Source organism: Homo sapiens, chromosome 6 (assembly GCF_000001405.40).
Source record: "Homo sapiens chromosome 6, GRCh38.p14 Primary Assembly".
Taxonomy (NCBI): domain Eukaryota; kingdom Metazoa; phylum Chordata; class Mammalia; order Primates; family Hominidae; genus Homo; species Homo sapiens.
The window spans coordinates 69,168,629-69,193,376 of record NC_000006.12 but is presented as its reverse complement, the minus strand read 5'-3'; the positions used below and the strand labels follow the sequence as shown (position 1 = coordinate 69,193,376).

The window sequence follows — 24,748 nt, the reverse complement described above, 5'->3', positions numbered from 1 at the left end:
TGAGAACAGGCTCAAAAGAATCACAAAAAAGTTTTTGTTTTAGTTATCATTTTCTTGCTGACAAGTACCTGCCATCTAGCCATCACATTGCTTCATATCACACCTGTCTACTCTCTAAGAAGTAGGCAGGAGCTGGCAGAAGATGGAATGTTGAGTCAGAGGAAGGCATGACTACACTTGGAGAGGGAAATTTACTGTAAGAGAGGAAAGGATGAAGGAGAAAGATAGGAGAAGGCAGTCCTGATGAAAAACTGGCAGATGATCCTCTATACAAGTATCTCAAACCTTGATTTAAAAGCAAAAAGGAATATAGATAAAGGTAACTTACCTTGACAGTTTAGGACTCGTGATATTGAAAAGTAAGAAAAAGAACGACCACCAACTTGATTTCTCCTATATATAAAACTCCTAGGAAAATAATAACTTGGCCAAGTTTATGTTTCCCCTCACACTAACTGAATTTGTAGCAAAATGTAGTCAGCAGTGAAAAATAGTGATAAATATATGTAGATAAAAGCTCTAAGTAAGCTGGAAATATGTTTGTCTTGTTCACTGTTGTATTCCTTCCACTTACTTTAATGCAGAATATAGCAGACCCTCAAAAATATATGTTTAATGAATAAAAACACAGATAAGTTTTATAATGCTTAACAGATAAGCAAGATCTCACAAGAAGAAATCACTACTATACACACAAAAACTGATAACCCAGTTTGGTCTACTTTGAAATAAGAATTACAAACTATTACAAGACTCAAAGTTTAGAACCATTTTACCATTTTATATTACTATAGATAAGAAAAAAGCTCATATACAAAATGTGATGGTTAATATTGTGTGTCAACTTGATTGGATTGAAGGATGCAAAATATTGTTCCTGGGTGTGTCTGTGAGGGTGTTACCAAAGGAGATTAACATTTGAGCCAGTGGACTGGGAGAGGCAGACCCACCCTCAATCTGGCTGGACAACATCTAATCAGCTGCCAGTGTGGCCAGAATAAAAGCAGGCAGAAGAATGGGGAAAGACTAGACTGGTTTAGTCTCCCAGCCTGCATCTTTCTCCCGTGCATCCACTTCCTGCCCTCTAACATCGGACTCCAAGTTCTTCAGCTTTGGGACTCTTGGACCTTTGACCGCAGACTGAAGGCTGCACTGTTGGCTTTCTTACCTTTGAGGTTTCGGATCTCCAACTGGCTTCCTTGCTCCTCAGCTTGCAGACAGCCTATTGAGGGACCTCACCTTGTGACTGTATGAGCCAATACTCCTTAATCAACTCCTTTTTATATATACTTCCATCCTATTAGTTCCATCCCTCTAGAGAAACCTGACTAATACACAGATATTCACACAGATAAAGATTAAGGGTAACAATTATTAGATCACCAGGACCTTGCCTTCCAAGTTGTCCTTCCTTCACTCCCCTCAGTCTAGTTTTTAATTGCCTACTCTAGAATTACATAAACAGTCACTTAACGGTTGTTTCAGAAGTGCTTGCACCCTGCTTTCCAACCCTCAAATCTTGTACTATCTAATCATCTTGATATATTGTGATTACTTTTTACTTGTTTTATGGTCTCCCCCACTCCCTCTACTTAATCTAAATTTCTTTGTCTCAGACAAGGCTCTGTCTTGCTTATTTACAGCTGTATTTTCAGCACATAGAAAACTGACAGGCATATAGCACGCACTCAACAAATATCTGTTGAGTGGATTAAGATGTATTTCAAATGCAGTTCTCTTTCTGAACTTTGTAATCCCCAAAGCTTTGTCCATTAGATTTATATTCCATAATAAGCACAAAATAATTATTTCAGATAACTTAAGCCATATTTATTATGCAACCATAGGTATAAATAATACAATTATAATTGTGAATCATGTAAAAGTAATATATTTGAATCACTTCTTGACTTCACTATATCAGAAGTGAATAATTTTATTTTCTTAATATTAACACTAATTAAAGAACCAATGAAACTACTGTATTGGTGTGTTTGCCAAAATAAATATTTTATCTAAAATCCATGAAAATATATAATTTCAACTAGAAATAAATCCTTTTGTATTGAAAAAGGCTCACATTATTTTCATCTGAAGTTGCTGATATTGATTACAAGTAGAAGCAGCAAGCTGTTATGGAAAAAAAAACCATTGAACTAGGAGTACAAAGTGATGAGTTCTAGTCTTAGATTTATTATAACTACATGTGTAATTTCAAATGAGAATCATAATATTTGGAGGCTGCCAATAGGCAGTAACACTTGAGAAGATCAGATAGGATTTAGTATATGAAAGCATTTTGTAAACTCAACAACACCATACAAATACAGTCATGTGTCACTTAATGTAATGATAAAGATATGTTCTGAGAATTATATCATTAGGCAATTTTGTAGCACAAACCTCATAGAGTGTACTAATACAAACCTGGGGTACATAGCCTACTACACACCTATATGGTACAGCTTATTCCTCAGGCTATAGACTTGTGCAACATGTTACTGTACTGACTGATGTAGGCAATTGTAACATAATTATAAGTATTTGTGTATCTAAACATAGAAAAAATAATAAAAATATGGTACAAAAGATAAAAACAGTACACATATATTGAGCAATCACCATGAAGGGAGCTTGCAGGACTGGAAGTTGCTCTTTTGGGTGAGTCAGTGAATTAGTGGTGATTGAATGTGAAGGCCTAGAACACCATTCTATACTACTGTAGATTTTATATAAACACTGTACACTTAAGTTACGCTAAATTTATGAAAAATAATTTTCTTTCTTCAATAATAAATTAACCTTACTTTGTTACATAGTTATACACACATACTGTAACTTTTTTACTTTACAAACTTTTTAATATTTTTTAACTTTTTGACTCGTATTGAGACATAACTTAAAACACAGACACATAGCTGCCCAGAAATATTTTCTTTCTTTATATCTCTATTCTATAAGCTTTTCTATATTTATTTATTTATTTTTAAATTTTTGTTGTTGTTGTTAAAAACTAAGATAAAAACACAAACATTACCCTAAGCCTACCCAGGGTCGGGATCGTCAGTATTACTGCCTTCCACCTCCACAGCTTGTCTCACTAGAAGGTCTTTAAGGACAATAACACGCTTACAGCTGGCATCTCCTATACAATATCCTCTTCTGGGTATCTCCACAAATGACTTCCCGAGGCTACTTTATAGTTAACTTTTTTTTAAATAGTAAAAGTACACTCTGAAATAATGATAAACAGTACAATATAGTAAATACATAAGCCAGTAGCATAGCCATTTATTATCATTATGAAATATTATGTACCGTACATAATTGTATGTGCTCTACTTTATATGAAAGGCAATACCGTATGTTTGTTTCCACCAGCATCCCTATAAACACATACTGCCTTGCACTAGGATGTTATGATGGCTACAGTGTAACTAAGAGATTCGGATTTTTTAGCTCTATTATAATATTACTAGGCCACCATTGTATATGTAGTCCATCATTGACCACAACGTTATGCTGGGCATAATGGTATACAACATTACTACGGTTACATTCTGCAAAGGACCTTTCTATTCTTAAACAAGGTTAGATGACATTAGTAAATAAAATTCAATGTTCTCTGTGTACCTCACAAAGCAAAGAGACAAAATTTTATTGATGAGCAATCTAAGGTCAACTGCTGACTCATTTTAGCAGAAATTGGCTTACATTATAATAGATGTGCCTATTTATAATTCTGAGAGACTCCCTAAGGAGAATCATATTGAACTAGATGGCATTTTTACCAGACGGAATTCGTTTCCACAGAAATAAAAGTGAATGTTAATGTGTATGACTCCAATCATAGTCACATTAATAATTTCAAAACATTTTTAACAAACAATAATAAAAAATGTTTACCCATCTTCTCATGCCGGGTCAATAGTAAATCTAGAAATCTTTCATCACTGATTCAAAATCTTTAATATGAAACAGCATCAATGTGGACAAAAGTAGAAATTTTCAGCATTGAAAGTGCTGGTATAAATGCAAACATCAAAATATAGTTGAACTGATAATGAGCCTTAGGTGAATAGTTCCCAAAGGAATTGACCTAGAAATACTGGAAAAAATACTGATGAACATTCAAGTTCCTATTGTGACTGCACCACAGAAAATATGCTGTTATTAACTAACTTAATTTAAGAGTTTCTGACATTCATATGTTATTCCCAGATTGTGGAACTTCAGTTTCGTTTTCATTTCTAAGTGTTTGGAAAGTACACATAGTGTTCCAGAAGAAATGATGTTAAATTCATTGGTTATCATTTCACAGAGTGATTGTGTGGAGAAAGAACATAGAAATACTTCCTGTTTAATTAAGTTTAAAAATCTTTCTTACACTGTAAAATACCAAAGAGCATTTGTGATATTATTTTTATTTTATTTTACGCAGATACTTTATTTTACTGCAGATACATATAAAAAGGCATTTATAATTAAATTTCAGTATTTGTGCCATCCAAAGAGATATATGTGAAGACATTAAATTAAAAAAAGATATATGGAGACAAAGGATTTCTCCAGAGTGCACATTCCAAACAAATGTGTCTGTTATAATTTAACGAATTTAAAAAAAATATTAAGCCCAGACACATAGATATTTTTAAATGAGTTCAATGTTTTTCATCTTTGATATGAAGGCTTTGAGCATGCAGTGATACCAAAAAAAAATCTGTTGTGAGAAGTCATGAAACATAAAGCTAGTAAAAAAAGATTCCAGGGCCGGGCGCAGTGGCTCACGCCTTTAATACCAGCACTTTGGAAGACAGACGTGGGTGGATCACCAGAGGTCAGGAGTTCACGACCAGCCTGACCAACATGGTGAAACCCTGTCTCTACTAAAAATACAAAAATTAGCTGGGCGTGGTGGAGGGTGCCTGTAATCCTAGTTACTTGGGAGGCTGAGGCAAGAGAATCGCTTGAACCCAGGAGGTGGAGGTTGCAGTGAGCCGAGATAGCACCATTGCACTCCAGCCTGGGCAACAAAGAGTGAAACTCCATTTCAAAAAAGAAAAAAAAGAAATTCCAGGATGGAGACATAGTGAAAATATCTTGGATAATAACTCCCAGAAAAAAAAGGCATTTTATGGAGAATAGTCCTTTTCCCTATCAGGGTAAAAGCAAAAAACAAACAAAAATTAACCTTTTAGTTTTATTGGAATGATTAATTTTATGAATCTGGGCCTCATTCCATTCTCCAATAATATCTAAAACAAGGCAATATTAATCACCTAACAGTTATCTGAGAATAGAAATTTAAGAAAAGTTTAAGATGTCTTTTACAAAAGAAATCTTAACATGATTTCTGCAAAGAACTAGTATCAATATTTTATCAACTGTTTAGTCATCACTTGGACAAGTCACAGAATGATTTACTTTCAGAATGACCCCAAATTAAAGGGACTTGACAGCCTCCAGGTTCTCCATCTTTGCTGATTTTAGAACTATCTGGACAAGCAGGACTTGGTGACCAGACAATGCCTGGCTCTCATGGCATCTCTAGCTGCTTTTCCCTTTCACATCCACTGTGCCTCCAATCTCCTTTCAAGAGCCAGCTCTGTCAAAAGTTGGGAAGGCTTCATAGATGGGTGAGTTCTTGAAAGTCCCTACATGCAGAGCATCTACCTAGAAAACATCCTCTGATTTGTGTTGAAACAGAAGTAATTGATTTCCATTCTGCTTTTAAGCTGCCTAAACTCCAAGAAACAAAACCTACTGCGTAACAACTTCAAAGGGGATGATAAGCCACAATATGAATACTGCTCCATGAAATTATTATTGATGGTACATTTCTGCCTGAATTTAAATATCACAGAAGTCACATAATTTCACTTTGAAGATGAAAACATCATTTAGCAGAGACCTGTAATACAGATTATTGTCTAGTAGTACTGCCAGATACCATCATTTTACAGATGTTCTATTGTAATTTTAGTGCATCACCAGAAAGTCTTATACGAACAATAGCAGTTGTTATCATCCTAAACCTCATATCTGGCAAAATTCTTATGTCTGGCCCGGAAGACTTTAGATCCAATATTATAGGGAAATATGTTATTTTTCACATTTTAAAATTATTATTCAAATTAATTCGTTAAAAACGTTTTTAAAGGCAAAAATAATTTCATTCTCTTGGTCTTACTCTTTCATTCTCTCCCATGGACACAAACATACACATATTGTAAACATGAAGCAATATAAATAGTATAATAAAGTGAGCATTGTTTTTGAGTTTCTTATAATTTCAGAAAAAAAGAGGGGAAATCAGAAAGAAAACTGTCACATTTCAAATGTTATGTTTACCATTCCAATTATTGTTGTGTAATAGCTGAACCTATACATTGAAGAAACAATTCAGCTGCATGCGTTGTCAAAAAAAAAAAACAAAAAACAAAAAAAAAACCTTGCTATGACTATACAGAGGATTTTACCTCTGTATAGAGGTAATATACTATTACCAGGCCCAAGCACTGGTAATAGTACTTCTGTATTTAAAAAAATGTATGCGCACACACACACATATACACACAAATTCAGACACACATTGAGCATTGACCTCTGGTTTTACATACTCTTACAGACTGAAATTCAGGTTGGTGTTGGTATATATCTGAAAGACAGATTTGAGGAAGCAGATTTTTGGTTCAAAGTTAATACAATAACTTGGAGATTTTAGTTTATTCTGTTTAACACAGGTTTATTCAAACGTGTACTAAAAAATAGTGACTGAGATTTTATTATGTGCCAGGCTTCTCTTATTTTCTTCTTCTTTTTTTTTTCTTTTTTCAGGTACTTGGGGGGTTAATAATCAGAAGACAGATTTGCTGCTTCTGCATTACTTGTATTCTCGTTCTATACTTGGTAGAGAATAAATGATGCTGGGTGGGGAGGGAAGGCTTTACAGAAATAAGCATATGTTCCATCTTTGCAATGAATTATATATTTCTGAGTGGGAAAAAAGTCAATGCTGCCTTCTAATGTTGCTTCTATGAAAAATACAAATAAAATGCATTTAGATCTATTACTCTTAAAATAAGGAGCACCATGCCTTTTAGCTTATTTGTGGCCAAGGACAAAGATAACATAGAAAGTTTAATTCATTCAGTAAAGGGTTGCAGGCCAATTGACAATTTTTTTTTTTTTTTTTTTTGCTATTTCATTTGGTGGCATATTTGAAAAGTTACTTGAATGCCCAAAGGAGAATACCCAGTTTCTTTTACCCCTCTGAGCAGGCTTTACTCAATTCTCCATGTCAGAACAAACCTCCAGCAAAGCTAATTGGTTACCAGCACTGCTCCCACAAATGCACACACATGCATGCTCTGTGTGTTTTCAAATCTAAAGCTCTGATTTTCTTTCTTTTACTCAGATTGATCACTTTGATCCATTTGGGGTATCTTGACTTATACATACTACTAAAAAAAGACTTAATACACAGATTTTTTTATTGGAAATACAAATTCAAAATGAATTAGATACCAGATTCTTATGCGAAGCTGTCATTTAATGTTTGGGAATTCACAATATGTTAATTGCTTCTCATAACATACAGAAGTCATCATGTATACTTTGCAACTTAAAAGTCAATGATAAGTATGTCCTGCCTTTGAAAGATAAGGTGCATACACATATTTTATTTTCTTCAATTACATGAATCAAGACCTAAATAGAGCCTGGTGAAATAAGATCAATGTGTATTCCTTAAAAAAGAAGTGATAAGAATGAACGTAGTCCTTTAAAAAGTTCATTTCATTCTTCAGAGGGCATACAGTACGAATAGTGGTAGATAAAATGAAAACAGAAATTCTAAGAAAGAGTACTCTGATACTTGTACCAATACGCCATGTTCTGTTCTGTGCTGAAAATGTTCCTGGCTCTGCTCTAATCTGGTGTTTCAGTTACACAGTCATTTTTCTTTCATGAAAGATGTGGGAGGGTTTATATACTCTCTTAGCAGCCTAATGGCCAAAGAAGTGAAGGCCAAAATTGTTAATCAATAGATCAGTAAATAAGACTTTGTAAATTTACAAGGAGAGTTTTTATGCTGTACTCTTCTCTGTTTCAGCTAGGTCACCTGCATTTTTTTCAATATGAGAGTTAGATGGAGGCAGGATATAGGTACAGTACTAGTATAGGTTTTTGAATTTTCATTAAACTCAAAACACCTGAAGTTATACTTATTTCCCTTGTTCCTACAAAACGTAAGATATTTTCTTGTAGAGAGGCAATTTGAAGGCTAATCCTAGTTTAGAAATTATAGAAGAATTTATGTAATATTAAAATATAATGAATTAAGGATGTGAACTCTTTGATAAGTCTAATTCTATGTGTGTCTAATGCACGGATGGCCTCTTGTGCTTAATTTAAAGCAATCACTGTCATAGAGAGAATTTCCCTTCACTCTATTGCATTTGAAGAAAATGATTCAAATCTTCAAATCAGACATTTAAAAAATGAATGCTCAAGTAATCGGCAAGTAAGTTTTGTGGCACATTATTTTCCACTAACAAATCTGCCCCATAAAGGATACTGTTCTGCCCCAAGGATATTTTTTCAGAGCATTTTTATTTACCTTATTTTCCTTTCCCTTAGGAGGTTTTCTTTTGGGCTCATATGAAAGTATCTTTTATTTTTTCCAGAGATCCATGTGCCACCTGCTCTTTTGAAAACACTAATAAAATAAAATATCTCTAAAAAGTCCAATTTCTCCAGTAGGGCAATAATGCTAAGCTAGTTTATAATTGTAAAAATAAAAATAATTCTGCTTTTGGATTTTATACATGTTTTAGGATGATAAATTTTATGTCACAGAAAATTATAAAACTTCATGTACAACCAAGGTACATGTACATATTAGTGATATATTCTGCCTAGGTCTTTTTCTTTTAAGTTATTTTTTGTTTCTTATTTCTTTGTTGTTGGCAGCCATTATGTTGGTGGTTTGACTTTTATTAGCGTTGGAGGGAAGAAAAACTGCACTTGCATGTTTTCTCAAGTCATATGAGAAAAGGCTAACTATCACACCCATTTGTCTGATTTCTGTGGCACCTGTGTACCAAATGATGGGAATGACATTAGAAGCCAGCTGATGGGGACACTTTTTGTTGTTTATTGTAATGGATGGGCCTATAAAGAGTCAGTGATTTCAATTATGACTTGCTACAGCTATGACGAGATGAAGGTGCCATAAAATTGATGTATCCATTTCTTTTTTGGATAGACAAACATAAAATGTCATGGCCACCAGCCTTGTTATTTGAGTTATAAAAGTTAAAAATTTTTTACCCTCTCATTTGTTTACATATCCTAACATGTTTTAAGTTATCACACTTGAGTTTTTGTGAACTTTATTTTATTTCAGCTTGAATAAAACTACTGTATTAGTTAACTTTCCATAATAATAATTATAATGCAAGGAAGATTAAGGACACACTAATTTATTTGCATTGTCCATGTCCCGGAAACACAGAGCATGATACTGGAGTGTTTTCTTCCATAAAAATGAGTTTGTTCATGTCAATGAAATTAATTTACATTCATATCTTTTCAAGCCTGTAGTGTTTTAGAAAGTCTGATATCAACTTACATATCTGAGAGAAGTTAAAATTTAAAGATGTAATTTGTAATTTAAGGTTAACATATGGATTTACTTTTATTTTTTACATATATCATTTAAGTTTGTTCTTCACTGAAGATTCAAAAAAAATGAAATCAATAATCTGGCCATGTGTTCTGAGAATTAGTTCAAGGATTTTTAATGCTTTATAAGTACTTTGGTAAGGACCTCTGTACCAGAATCTTCAGTCTAGAGCATTTAGCAATTTAAAGTTACTGGAGCACTTCAGAAATTGGAATTCCAATTTGAAAGAATGAAGTTCTCCTAAAAACCTGAAGCACTCCAATAATTTTAAATTATTTCTACTTTGGAAGTTTACAGTCTTCACTACTTATAAAAAGAGGCACTTATAACAAAAGGGAAAGTACCACAAAAATTTCAAATCACTTTGTATAGTGCAGGGCAATTTTAAGTCATTGAAGTACTTATAGATTTTACCATTTCATTTGAAGGCTTCCAATTTGAAAGGAAGTAAAGCAGCTTTTATAATATGACAATTCAAAATACACTAAGAAATTTCAAATTTAACCAAAACTATGGTGAAAAGTAGAGTGCATATATTAGAAAAAAATGTAAAAATTAAATAATGTATATCCTCCAAAATATAAAAGGGAATTAAACTGTCCTATAAATTGCTTCGTTGGCATAGAACAGCAGAATGTGTGTAAGGGGTAACATCCATGTGACAGTAGTGCCATATTTTAAAAGTAATAACTCAGAAAGTAGTTATTCAATTTTATGAGGAAAGGTTAAAAAAACAAGATTGACATGCTTGGTTTTAATATTTCATCCAGTGGTATACTGGAGTCTGCTCATAAAGGCTCACAAGAATCAACTGTGCATATATCTCTCCCCAGTTTTTTATTGTTCAGCAATGTTATGATGATAGCCTGAAACCAGCCATGGTAGGAATATTTACACCATGGAAATTGACAAATGCTACAAATTAGGGCCTTTTTCCTTTTGAGAGTCTATTGTTAACATTTACCAGCTTACCAATCGTTATATCCAATTTACTTCTATGATAGGTGTTTTCAATTTTAAGGGAACGGGACTCACTCAATTTGCCTCAAGTAATGCAGAAATAATGGCAGTGATGAAAAAAAATAAGGGAAAAAATAATTCTCAGCAAAGATTAGAGTCTCAGGCCAAGTGGGAAGAACAGAACAAATAATCAAAAATTAAGACCATCACTGAATGACAACTCAGAAGTCAGTGATTCAGAATCCAATGCAGCTCTAGGTTCCTCAGAAGTAGCATCTTAGTTTAGGATACCTTAACTAGCCTTCTGTTTTTTTTTTTTTCTTGTTGTTGTTTTATTTTTATTTTATTTCATTTTTTTACTTCCATAGGTTTCTGGGGAACAAGTGGTGTTTGATTACATGAGTAAGTTCTTTAGTGGTGATTTGTGAGATTTTGTTTATGTAACTCTACGATTATCTTTCCATTACTAACTGGTTTCTTCATACTCTACTCTGCAATTTTTCTCTATGCCATAGTTTATGTTTACTTATGATTTTTGCATCACTCATAACCCAGTTTTATACGTGTGTCATAAGATCCTCTCCTGTCTCATGGGTGCATCTGTGTGCCTGTGCATCCTTCCATTTTCAGTCTTTGTTGCCAAATAAATGATTTTTTTGGCCATATTTCCAAGTCAAAAGTCCTGAGGTTGGGAAATCTGGTGAGCCAATTTTTGCGATGAACAACTGTCATAAAGGTCCTCTCATTGGAACTACTGAATGTCATACAATTTACTTGTTTATTGAGTATCTTCTTTAGGTGTTATTGGAAACAATGCTAACTAAGATTATCCCCAAACACAAGAAATTATTAACCTAGTTGATTATAAAAAATCTAGTTGACTAAATGATTATAGTAAAAAAATGAAATAAGGTAAGTAAAATAGAAGTACAAATATAGTACTATGAACTTTCAAAGAAAGGAGAATATATTTATGGCTACATAAAAGCAGTTTCCAAATAGTTTAAAATGTTTTTGCAGATAGTAATCATTGACGAAGCAAAGCTTAAGAAGACAACATTCTAGGCAAAAGGTGGAAAGAAGAAACTGAATGTTGTTTACATTTATGTTTATTTGATAATGTATATGCAAGAAGCAAAAACCATTTAAAAATGATATTAATGTATAAAAGCCTCCAAAAAATTCAAAGATAATTTAGCTTCTAGGTAATATAATTATAAGTATTTCCAATTCTATATGTCTTACCGTCTCAGATGTTTTTATAATGCATATATCGTGCATTTATAGGTTTTAAAAATGAAATTTAAACAAAAAAATGAGTTATGAATTCAACCTGTCTGACTGGAATAATGTATTTTTTTAAAAAAATAAGAATATTATGAGGAAAAGTAAATGTGATGGACATAGATCATGATTAAAACATTAACACATTTTTTTTTTCAAGATAGTGATTAGAGGCATGCTTCAGCCCTTAGAAATAGAAAGATAGTGCATAAAGAGAAACTCTATGAGCTGTATTTCAATAAGGAAAATTGGAATTCACCAGAATCATAAAGGACACCCCACATCTCAGGAGGAGGATGCAGGCAAACAGCCCCTGTGATGGCGTCCAGTTGATAAAAGTGAGTGAAGCCCCAGTATGTGAGACAGACAGAGAGCCCTCTGTGACTCACTTTTCTCCTGGGGATCTGAGCAACCCAGTAGGCTGAGGGAGTACGTTTTCTTTTCTCCCAAGCTCTGGAGTTGACTTGCAGAGAGGCTTGGGTACTCTGTGAGGGAAAGACACCAGGAAAAGCTGCTGGGATTTTCCCAGAACCAGGAGCAAGAGCAGGACGCCATTTTTAATCCCGGGGCATACAAAATCAGCCATTCTGTGGTGATCCAGCAGGCTGGTCATGCAGGCATTTTAGTCTTTGGCCAGAAATGGAGTACGTACTCTGGAGTCGGGTAGGGGCCTCCACAGCCAGAACTGTGGAAAGCAGCTCAGCAGTAGGTGTTACAATTATGCTCTCCCCATTGCAGGCCTGAGGCAGAAGGAGAGCTGCTACAACTGCAGTTTCTCCTGGACTAAGACTTGCAGCTACGGCCAGCTTGGCAACCTGGAACTGGTCTGTGTATGTCATTGTTGCCTGCCCCAGCCTGCTCTCCTGAGATAATGATGGAGCAGGGCTCTCTCTACTCCATTCCTAGGCAGATCTCCAGGCATTCAGAGCACTAACTCAACTGGTTAAGCAGCCTGAGCTGCCCCACCCTTCCTAGACACAGATTGTTGTACAGTGAAGACGTCTTCACTCCACACCTAGACAGATTCTCTAGGCATTTTGATTGCCCATTCACCTGCATCAGCAGCCTAAACTGCCCCACACTTCCTTTGCATAGATTGTGGTGCAAGAAGGCCCTTTCTGCTCCATGCCCAGGCAGATCTCCAACCATTCAAAGCACCTGTTTGCCCAAACTGATAGTCTGAGCCACCCCACCATTCATGTGCAGGGATCCTAATGTAGAAGGGACTGCTCTACGCCACACCCAGGCAGATCTCCAGGCACCTGAAGCAGCTGCTTTCTGAATTAGGAGTTTAGGTTGCTCCCATTCTCATACAGAAAACTCAGGGCCAAGGAGGTTTCCCAGCTCCATGCCTTGCCACACCTCTGGATGCTTAATAGCCATCCACTGGATAGTCCCTCAGTATTGGTGCTTTTGCCTGCCACTGGGGGACCTGCAGGTGGACATGCCCAGTCTGGCCCTGCCCATCTGGCTCCTGCACCCAGAAGCTGAGGAGAGAGCTCAGACCACAGTGCACTTCATGAATCAGCCCATTGCCCTAGGCAACAGAGAGGTTCTCCAAGTAAACAAGGATCAAGTACATGCCTAGTCATTACAGGCCACAGACAGCTCTTACCCATAAGTGTCACCTACTGGCTTGTAAGTCAAACTGCACAGTCCAATATAAAACCTGCTGACAGAAGTACATAGGGCTACAGAAGCCAAGCCAAAAAACCTTACCCAGCATTCTCTACAGCCACACACCCCAGGGAAGGAATGAAAGGGAAAGAAGAAACAAGCAATAATATTATCTAGAAAAAAAAGTGCTACCACATGAGAAAATTACAAAAGCTAAGTGTCAGCATCTCTAGATGAGAAGAAACAAGTTCAAGAATTCTGGCACCATGAAAAATCTGAATGTAGTGATGCCAGCAAAGGATCACATGAGCTCTCCAGCAATGGTCCCTAACCAAAATGAAAATTCAAATGACAGATTAAAATTTCAAAGCAAGGATTGTAAGGAAGCTCAATGAGATCCAAGACAAGGTTGAAAATCTACATAAAGAAACTTTTCAAGCAATCTACGAAATGGAGAAGGGATACACACCTTAAAAAGAAATCAGTCAGAGCTTTTAGAATACAAAAACTCACTTAAAAATTTTCAAAATGCAATTGAAAGCTTTATCAATAGACTGGGCCAAGCAGAAGAAATAATTTCAGAGCTTGAAGACCAGTCTTTCAAACTAAACCAGTCAGATAAAAATAGAGAAAATAATTTTTTTAAAAATGAAATTCTTTGAGGAATTCATTTAAAAAAACATTTAAAAAATGAATTTCTTTGAGAAATATTGGATTATGTAAAGTGACCAAACATACAAATTACTGGCATTCTTGAGAGAGACAGAGAAAAAGAAAACAACCTGGAATACATACTTGACATAACAATTCAAGAAGATTTCCTTAATCTTGCTTAAGAGGTAGACATCCAGTTACGACAAATCCAGAGAACACCCGTGAGATACTATATAAAACAGACATCAACAAAGGATATAGTCACCAGGCTATCTAAGATCAACAATAAAGAAAAAATCTCAAAGGCACTTAGAGAAAAGGTCAGATCACTTACAAAGGAAATCTCATTAGGCTCTAGACTTGTCAGATGAAACCTTATAAACCAATAGAGACTGAGGGACTATTTTCAGTATTCTTAAATAAAAGAAATTCCAACTAATAATTTCATATCCTGCCAAACTAAGCTTCATAAGTAAGGGAGAAACAAATTTTTTTGAGGCAAACAAGTGCTAAGGGAATTTATTACTGTCAGACCAAACTTATGAGAAATCCTTAAGGGAGTTCTAAACATGGAAATGAAAGAATGATACCTGCTACCACAAAAATACATTTAAATACATAACTCATAGGCCCTATAAAGCAATAGAAACCACAAAGCAAACAGCTAACAAGTTCATGATAGGTTGAGACCTCACATGTCAATATTAACTTTGAATGTAAATAGTCTAATTGTCCCTCATAAAAGGCACAGAGTGGCAAGTTGGATTAAAAAATAAAACAAACAAACAAAAAAACCAAGAACCATTTGTCTACTGTCTTCAAGAGACCCATCACACCTGTAATGTAATGTCATTCATAACCTCAAAGTAAAGGGTTGGAGAAAGATCTATCATGCAAAACTGAACACAAAGAAGAAGCAGGGGTCACTATTATTATATCAGATAAAAAAGACTTTAAACCAACCAAAGTAAAAAAGGACAAATAAGGGCATTACATCATGATAAAGGGTTCAGTTCAACAAAAGATGCATATATTCCAAGTATATATGCATACCACATTGGAGCACCCAGATTCATAAAACAAGTACTTCTAGACCTGTGAAAAGACAGCCATAAAATAACAGCAGGGGACTTCAACATCCTACTGACAGCATTAGACAGATCCTTGAGAAGGAAAACTAACAAAGAAATTCTGGACTAAACTCTGACACTTGACCAATTGGAGCTAATAGATATCTATGGAATACTCCACCCATGAGCCAGAGAATATACATTTTCCTCATCTGCACATGGACCATATTCCAAGATTGGCCACATGCTTGGCCACAAGGTGAGTCTCAATAAATAAATAAATAAATTGAAATCATATCAATCATACTGTCAGACCATGGTAGAATAAAAATGAAAACCAATACCAAGAAGTTATTTCAAAAACACACTATTATATGGAAATTAAACAACTTGGTCCTGAATGACTTTTGGGTAAACAACAAACTTAAGGCAGAAATAAGCAAAAAGTCTTTGAAATAGGCTGGGCGTGGTGGCTCACACCTGTAATCCCAGCACTTTGGGAGGCCAAGGCGGGTGGATCACGAGGTCAAGAGATCAAGACCATCCTGGCTGACAGGGTAAAACCCCGTCTCTACAAACATTAGCCAGGCATGGTGGCAGGCACCTGTAGTCCCTGCTACTTGGGAGGCTGAGGCAGGAGAATGGTGTGAACCCGGGAGGCAGAGCTTGCAGTGAGCCGAGACGGCGCCACTGCACTCTAGCCTAGGTGGCAGAGCAAGACTCTGTCTAAAAAAATAAAAATAAAAAAAAAAATCTTTGAAATAAAGAAAAACAGACACAACATACCAAAATATCTGGGATACAGCAAAAGCAGTATTAAGAGCAAAGAGCAAAGTTTACAGCACCAAACACTTATCTCAAGAAGTTAAAAAGATTTCAAATGAGTAATCTAACATCACAGCCAGAAGAACTAGAAAAACAAGAAAAAACTAACCCCAAACCTAGAAGAAAAGAAATAACGAAAATCAGAGCAGGACTGAACAAAACTGAGACCCAAAAATCTATACAACAAATCAACAAAACCAAAAATGGTTCTTTGACAGGATAAACAAGATCGACAGATTGCTAGCTAAGTTAGAAAGAAAGAGAGAATATCTAAATAAGCACAATCAGAAATGACGAAAGTGACTATACAACCAATTCCACAGAAATACAGAAAATCCTGAAAGACTATTATGAATACCTATATGCAGACAAACTAGAAAATCTAGAGGAAATAGATAAATTCCTAGAAGCATACAATGTCCCTAGATTGAATTGGGAAGAAATTGAAACCCTGAGCAGATCAATATTGAGTTCTGAAATTAAATCAGTAATAATAAACTTAACTAACGTGATGAAAAAGCTGCAGACCAGATGGATTCACCACTGAATTCTACCAATGTTCAAAGAAGAGCTGGCAACAATTCTACTAAAATTATTGCAAAAAATCAAGGAGGAAGGACTCCTCCATAAATCATTCTACAAAGCCAGCATCACCCTGACACCAAAGCTGGCAAAGACACCACACAGCAGGCCACTATCCCTGATGAACATGGACACACACACAAAAATTCTCAAATTACTAGCAAACTGAATTAGAAGCACATCAAAAAGTTAATTCATCATGATCAAGTAGGCTTCATTCCTGGGATGCAAGGTTGGCTTACCATACGCAAATCAATACATGAGATTCATCACATAAACATAATTAAAAACAAGAACCATATAATCATCTCAATAGACATGGGAAAGCTCTTGATAAAATCTAACATCCCTTTATGATCAAAGCTCTGAAGAAACTAGACATCATAGGAACATACCTCAAAATAATAACAGCAACACATGATAAACTTGCAGCTAACATCATACTGAATGTGCAGAATGTAGAAGCATCCTTCTTGAGAAATGGAACAAGATAAGGATGCCCACTCTCACCACTCCTATACAACATAGTGCTGGAAGTACTTGCTGGATAAATCAGGGAGAAGAAAAAAATAAAAGGCATCCAAATAGAAAAAGAAGAAGTCAACTCTCTCTTTGTTGATGATATAATTTTAGAGTTAGGAAACCCTAAAGACTCTGCCAAAAGTCTCTGGGAACTGATAAACAACTTCAGTAAAGTTTCTAGATACAAAATCAATGTACCAAAATCAATAGCATTTCTATACACCAATAACTTGTATTGCCATGTTAAGAACCAAATCAAGAATGCAATCCCATTTACAATAGCTGCAAAATAAAATACCTAGGAATACATCTAACCAAGGAGGTGAAAGATCTCTACAAGGAAAACCACAAACCACTGCTGAAAGAAATCATAGCTGACACAAACAAATGGAAAAAACATTCCTTGCTCATGAATTGGCAGTCAATATCACTATAATGGCCATACTGCTTAAGGCAATCTACGAATTCAATGATATTCCTATCAAGGTACCAAATAGTTTTTCAAATAACTAGAAAAAATATTCAAAAAGTCATATGAAACCAAAGAAGAGCCTGAATACTCGAAGCAATCCTAAGGAAAAAACAAAGCCAGAGGCATCACATTACCTGACTTCACACTGTACTACTATAAGGCTACAGTAACCAAAACAGCATGGCACTTGTACAAAAACAGACACATACACCAATGGAACAAAATAGAGAACCCAGAAATAAAGCTGCACACCTGCAGCCATCTGATTTACAACAAAGTTGACAAAAATAAGCAATGAGAAAAGGACTCCCTATTCAATAAATAGTGCTGGGATGGCTGGTTAGCCATATGCAGAAGAATGAAACTGGACCACTACATTTCACCATATACAAAAATCGACTCAAGATGGGTTAAACACTTACATGTAAGACCTAAATTCTTCTAGAAGTCTTATAGTTTGAGCTCTTATATTTAAATGTTTAACCCATATTGAGTTAATTCTGGACATCAAACTTGGGAAAGAATTTATGACAAAGTCCTCAAAAACAATTGCAACAAAAAAAACCCAAAAACTGACAAGTGAGTTCTAATTAAATTAAAGAGCTTCTGCATAGCAGTAGAAACTACCAACAGTGTAAACAGACAACCTACAGAATGGAAAAAAAATACTCACAAAGTATGCATGTGACAAGGGTCTAACATCGAGAATCTATAAGGATCTTAATTCAACAAGCAAAAAGCAAATAAGTCCTTTAAGAAATGGGCAAAAGACAGTTGAACAGATACTTTTCAAAAGAAGACACGACACACAAGTGGTCAAAAAAGTGAAAAATTCTCCACATCACTTATGAACAGAGAGCTGCAAATCAAAATCACAATGAGATACCATCTGACGCCAGTCAGAATAGCTATTATTAAAAAGTCAAAAAACAACAGATGTTGGTGAGTCTATGGAGAAAAGAGAATGCTTGTACACTGTGGTGGGAATGTAAATTAGGTAAATTAGTTCAGCTACTGTGGAAAGCAGTTTTCAGATTTCTCTGAGAACTTAAAACAGAACAATCATCTGACCCAGCAATCCCATTGTGGGGTATATACCCAAAGGAAAATAAATTGTTCTACCAAAAAGACACATGAACTTATATGTGCATTGCAGCACTATTTACAATAGCAAAGACATGGAATCAACCCAGGTCCCATTAACAGTGGATTGTATAAAAAATGTCATATGCATACACCATGGAATACTATTCTGCCACAAAAAGAAATGAAGTCATGGTCTTTGCAGCAACGTGAATGTAGCTGAAGGCCATTATCCCAATCAAATTCATGCAGGAACAGGGAACCAAATACTGCAGGTTTTCACTCATAAGTGGGAACAAAACATTGGGTACTCAGGAACATAAATGGCAATAATAGACAATGGGGACTACTAGAGGGAGGAGGAAGAGAGGGATGCAAGTGCTGAAAAACCAACTATTGAGTACTATGCTTAGTACCTGGGAGACAGGATCAATCATTCCCCAAACCTCAGCAGCATGTAATATCCCCAGGTAACAAGCCTGAACAAGTACCTCTGAATCTAAAATAAAAGTTGAAATTATTTTTTAAAAATTATCTTAAAAAAAGAAAAAAGTACATGAGTAATTTCCTTTAAAACAATGAGGGTTTTACTACTTTACAGCAAGTAATGGAAGATCCTTTTCTTCAAACGTTCATCTTATTAGCTAAAGTATTTTCTACATGAAGAGCTTGGTTAAGATTTTGAGGTGAACAAATTACCATTCCTGCATGTTCTCCATTACTTTCTGCTTTGTCCTTTTCCTACCCAGTCATAAAACGCTTTGGGGTGCTCCCATCATTGTTTCATTTGCTCAGCATCCTCAGAATGTTTTTTAGGTGCCCTGAGTTTTCTCACACAATCTTATTCTCTGACCTTTTTTATCCACCTGTCACTGTTTATCCATCATTCTTCCATTCCCTCTAGGTCCTGCTTTCTGCTGGATAAAGACAAAGAGTAGTAATGACTTACAATAAGATAAAAAAAAAAAACAATGCTACAAGGTTAATTGACTATTATAATATCCTTTCCATTTACCCAATGCCTTTAATTGTGTAAAAATGCACATATCCATCTTCATCTCCATCACTCTCATCTTACTCCAAGTTACCATTCTTTCTCATTTAGACTACTGCAAATAATTTTCTTACACCTGTCTTATCCACTAAGTGATCCACAAAAATATAAATTCAGAAGTAAATAAAAATGAATACACAAATCAGACCACTTTTTCTTCTGTTTAAAAAAGAAAAATCAGTGGCTTCAAAATTCTCTAGAGAAGAATTCAAATAACTTGCCTGGCCTGGCTGGGCACCGTGGCTCACGCCTGTAATACCAGGACTTTGGGAGGCCGAGGTGGGTGGATCACCTGAGGTCAGGAGTTCGAGACCAACCTGGCCAACATGGTGAAACCCCATCTCTACTAAAAATACAAAAATTAGCCAGACGTGGTGGTACATGCCCATAATCCCAGCTACTTGGGAGGCTGAGGCAGGAGAATCACTTGAACCCGGGAGGCAGAGGTTGTAGTGAGCCGACATCACACCACTGTACTCTAGCCTGGGCGACAGAGTGAGACTTCGTCTCAAAACAAAAACAAAAACAAAAACAAAAACAAAAACCAAAACCCCACACAACTCTCCTGGCCTAAAGGGCCCTGACTGATCCAGGCCCTGCCTATAACTCCTGTCTCTTTATTTACCACTTTGTCACTCAGTGTATTCCAGACATACCAGCATTCTTTCTTTCCATTTCAGCCATTTTGTTCTGTCTGCTCTCTCAGCCCAGAGTGCCTGGATCAAATCTTCCTGTGATCGGCTCCTTGTTGTCCTCAGGCCACGTCTCTAATGTCTGCTTCTCAAGAAGGCCTCCCCTGACTGCACAAAGTAGCCCCTCTTATTGCTTCTGTCTCTAACAAGAAGTCTCTCTTTTGCTTGTTTATTTCTTTCTTTTCTTTTTCTTTATTTCTCTTTTTTTTTTTTTTTTTTTTTTTTTTTTTGAGACAGAGTCTCGCTCTGTCGCCCAGGCTGGAGTGCAGTGGCGCAATCTCGACTCACTGCAAGCTCCGCCTCCCAGGTTCACGCCATTCTTCTGCCTCAGCCTCCCGAGCAGCTGGGACTACAGGCACCCGCCACCATGCCTGGCTAATTTTTTTTTATTTTTAGTAGAGACGGGGTTTCACCGTGTTAGCCAGTATGGTCTTGATCTCCTGACCTCGTGATCCACCCGCCTCGGCCTCCCAAAGTGCTGGGATTACAGGCGTGAGCCACTGCGCCTGGCCTGTTTATTTCTTTATTATCTCTCTTTCCCTCCACTAGGAGAGATGTCTCCCGATAGCAGGGATCTCGTCTGTATTGGTCATTGCTATACCACCAGAGGTAGGCATAATTAGGTTTGGTTTTTCTATAATATAAAAGATCAAAGTACACAGTGTCTACAGTGGTTGTAGACAAATAGACATTTATTCCTCTCATATAAAAGAAATGTGGGGGATAGGTGGTCAAAGCTCATATGATAGCCCCCATGATCTAAAAACATAGGCTTCAATCTTTCTGCTCCACTATCCTCAACACACAACCTCCAACTACAAAGTTGCACCATGGTCAAGAAAGCTGCTATTGCACCAGCGCTGAGGTACCATACTTCCAGGAAGACATATGTAATAATTCCTTTGCATGTCACTGGCTAGAAGTAGTCACATGGCCATACCTTACTGCAAAGGAGGCTGGGAAATGAGGTACTTATTTTGTGTGGCAATGTAGAATCAAACGTCAAGCTGCATTACTGAGGAAGAAAAAAATTGATATTGGGTAGCAACATCTTCCACAGGATATATGGTTAGTTAGATTCTGTAGTTTATTGGAGTAATAAAGGGCTTTTTTTTTGACTCTGTATTCATTCTTTATGCTAAGTAGTTGCAAGATGACTGCCTAAAATTCCTTTGTTCACATCCAGGGGAAGACAGGGAATGAGGTTGAGTCACCTCAGGTTGTTTCCTAAATAGGGAGAGGGGGTTTCTTTCTTATACTTCCCAGAAAATGTCTCCTCCAATTGTATGGATCATAACAGAATCAACAACTATACCCAAGGGAAGAGACTAAGATAAATCATATGCATCTTCATACAACTAGAACTTTGAGTTACCTTACCCCATAGCAAATGGACTACGGGTAGGAGCTATGGATACCTGATTGGCAATCAGAATAACTACCAAGAACAAGGGTATGGAAGTTGGCCAGGCCATTTTTGGTGGCACATGTTTCTCAACTCAGATCATATCACATATACATGTTGAGTGAAAAGAGAGCCATCTCCTAATTTTCTTCATTTTCTTCTTTTCTTGTTCTTATCAACTAAAATCCATACAAATTCAACAACTATGCTGGCCAACATGGAAGTCATTAGCCATATGTGGCTATTGAGCATTCGAAAACTAGCTAGTCTAAATTGAGATATGCAGTAAGTGTAAAATATACACTGGAATTCAAAGACATTATGAAAAAGAGAATGTAAGTATCTTCTTAATAAATTTTACACTGATTACATGTGAAAATATTAGTATTTTAGATATATTGGGTTAAATAAAATATCTTTTTAGAATGAATATATTATTAGAGTTACAATTACTAAATTTTAAAATAACTTTTTTCTTTTTACTTTTCGTATGGCTACTAGAAGATTGCAAATTATGTATGTAGCTTACATTATATTTCAGTTAGACAGCACTAATTGATAACACTTTCTATGTCACCTTACATGAACTCTCTACCTTGAGTTCATCTACCTTCAAGCAAAATTGAACTATGTGCCACTAATAAGCTCTAATTCCATATCTGAATTCCCCATCTTTACTTACCTTTCGAGCTCTTGCTCCAATGCCATCTCATCAAGAAAGACTTACTATGATTCCTTTACAATGAGAAGTCATATCTTCCTCTTCTCCAATACCATACGACTTTACCTGTGCAGTTTTACGGCAGAGAACACCTTTTCTATATATCAGAGTGAATTGTTTACATGTTTTAACACTTCTATAGACCTCCTGCTTTCTTTTCTGGGGAAATGTGGTGGTTCTGTATATTTGTATTCTACCTTAATTCCTTGGCTGTGATAAGAGTTTGGCAAAGCATCTGTGGATGAGAGAATATATAGTGCTGCTGTGAAAAACAAAAAGGGACAGATAGGCCTATTCTAGAAGAAAGGCTGAAAATAATGGAGTGAATCCTGGAGAAATAGCAAGGGCCAAGAAAGCTTTGAAAGTGATGAAATACTAGTTGAGTGCCGTAAAGAAAAAGAATACTTCCTATAAAAGCAAAGAGTATGCTGTTGAGAATCCACATCATTCAAACAGTCTAGATCTAGGCTTTTTATCAAATGCTTTATTTTCAACATATGCTTGAACTGAAATGGTTCAAGGAAAAACAGTCTCAGACTTGGCCTTATTATAAAAATTTGGAAAATTACTTCTGAGTGTCTCAAATCAGTTCAGTCTAAAATGCTAGTGAAGTGTTCATGACATTTTAGCATTCAGGGGTCCCTTGAGAGCAAGAGTAAAGAAAATCTATGCAAAACTTCTCCTTAGGGTCAATTTCCCTTCATTAATTGTACTTAGAACTACTAGTGCTTCCTAAAGCCTGAATGGTTTTCTCGATCTGACTTCGTGGTAGAATTGTTAGGTTCCAAGAGTGCTCCAGAGAGCCTTCTAGCTGACTCTATTTTTCTGCACTTAGATAGCCAAGGACCTCAAAGCTGTTAAGACTAAATAGAGGCTATGCATGATAGTCTAATTCAAGGTCAAGCTATAAACTATCCTCTATTGGGCCACAGTTGCCAGGAAAAAAGTTCATGGGCATTAAAACATTAGAAATGGTTGAATATTCCTGAGCACTTAAATTGGGAACCAATAGTTATAGAATATTATTCTTTAGTTATTCCTCAGAAGATCTTGTTTACATTTAAGGTCAAAACTATTATCTTCAACAGATTCAATTTGTACTTTTTGTAAGATTCTCAATACCTATGGTATTTATTTAATTTATATCATTTAATTATATCATTTAATTTATAATTAAATGATAATTTAATCACAATTCGTGCTTATATTATAATTTAATTATGATAATTATATAATTTAATTATAATTTGTAATTACTTTTATATCATTAAATATTATTTAATTTATATCATTAACACATTAGTTACTCATTGTAACTATAGTGTTCTGAAATAGCTTACAGCACTGTAAGACAAATTTAAAATAAGTAAGAGAAATTGGCCAAAAAAATAGGTAAGTAAACTCTAATACGAAGTTATATTGAGCACAGCATGCATACTGTGAAGAACTTTATACTTGCTAGATGTGGGCTACATATTTCAAAATAAACAACATTTTCAGTAGTCAGTTGTAAAATTGCATAATCACAATTTATAACAAGTGGGCATTTGTTTCCCAATCCATCTGTCAATGTGATATAGTTTCTCTCTCTTCAATCATTTACTCTTTTTTTAAGGTATATCTGTTTCCCAGGCAGCATGGCTATAGAGGAACTATCTTTTTTTCCTACATAAACTTCCACCTGTTTCATTTAGAATAGCAGATATTCATTACATCATTGGAAAAAGTAACTGAAAGTGAAGGTAAATCCCTTTAAAACACATCAAATTTTTATGGTAAATATTATAAAGCAAGAATAAAAAAATAAAAATAAGTTGAGATGTTAGTAAAAAAAATTTATGAGATGTTTACTTTTATTTAAAAAATTTTGTTTGTAGTGTAACTATACATCAATTCTTAGAACTGTAGACTGAATTACATGCTGATTTTTCCAACTAAAATTTAAAAGAGGACAAAATGATATTCTGTCAATGATTTGGTATGATATGAGTAATTCTACAACATTTCTTACAGAAACTATGAAATCACATCTTGCAAAAATTGAAATTTTAGTTTGCAATTGATTTGCATTAAAATTAAATTTTAAATTAATTTAAATTAATTTTAAATTATGGCTCAT

General features: G+C 35.4%; 1 protein-coding gene across 1 annotated transcript in view, besides 2 other annotated features; it reads right to left on the bottom strand.

The window, feature by feature from the left end:
* Positions 1 to 24,748, bottom strand: part of ADGRB3 (adhesion G protein-coupled receptor B3) — a 754,225-nt gene that overhangs the window by 196,130 nt on the left and 533,347 nt on the right. The window lies entirely within an intron of this gene.
* Positions 11,743 to 12,942: an enhancer, noted in NCBI's record as "CDK7 strongly-dependent group 2 enhancer chr6:69890327-69891526 (GRCh37/hg19 assembly coordinates)". NCBI's record gives its function as "activates an origin of replication core promoter dependent on BRD2, BRD4, P300/CBP, MED14 and CDK7 cofactors, with strong dependence on CDK7, by STARR-seq in HCT116 cells {active_cell/tissue: HCT116}" and the evidence as "EXISTENCE:reporter gene assay evidence [ECO:0000049][PMID:35650434]".
* Positions 13,306 to 13,600: an enhancer, noted in NCBI's record as "tiled region #1724; HepG2 Activating non-DNase unmatched - State 13:Ctcf, and K562 Activating non-DNase unmatched - State 13:Ctcf". NCBI's record gives its function as "activates a minimal TATA promoter and a strong SV40 promoter by Sharpr-MPRA in HepG2 and K562 cells {active_cell/tissue: HepG2 | K562}" and the evidence as "EXISTENCE:reporter gene assay evidence [ECO:0000049][PMID:27701403]".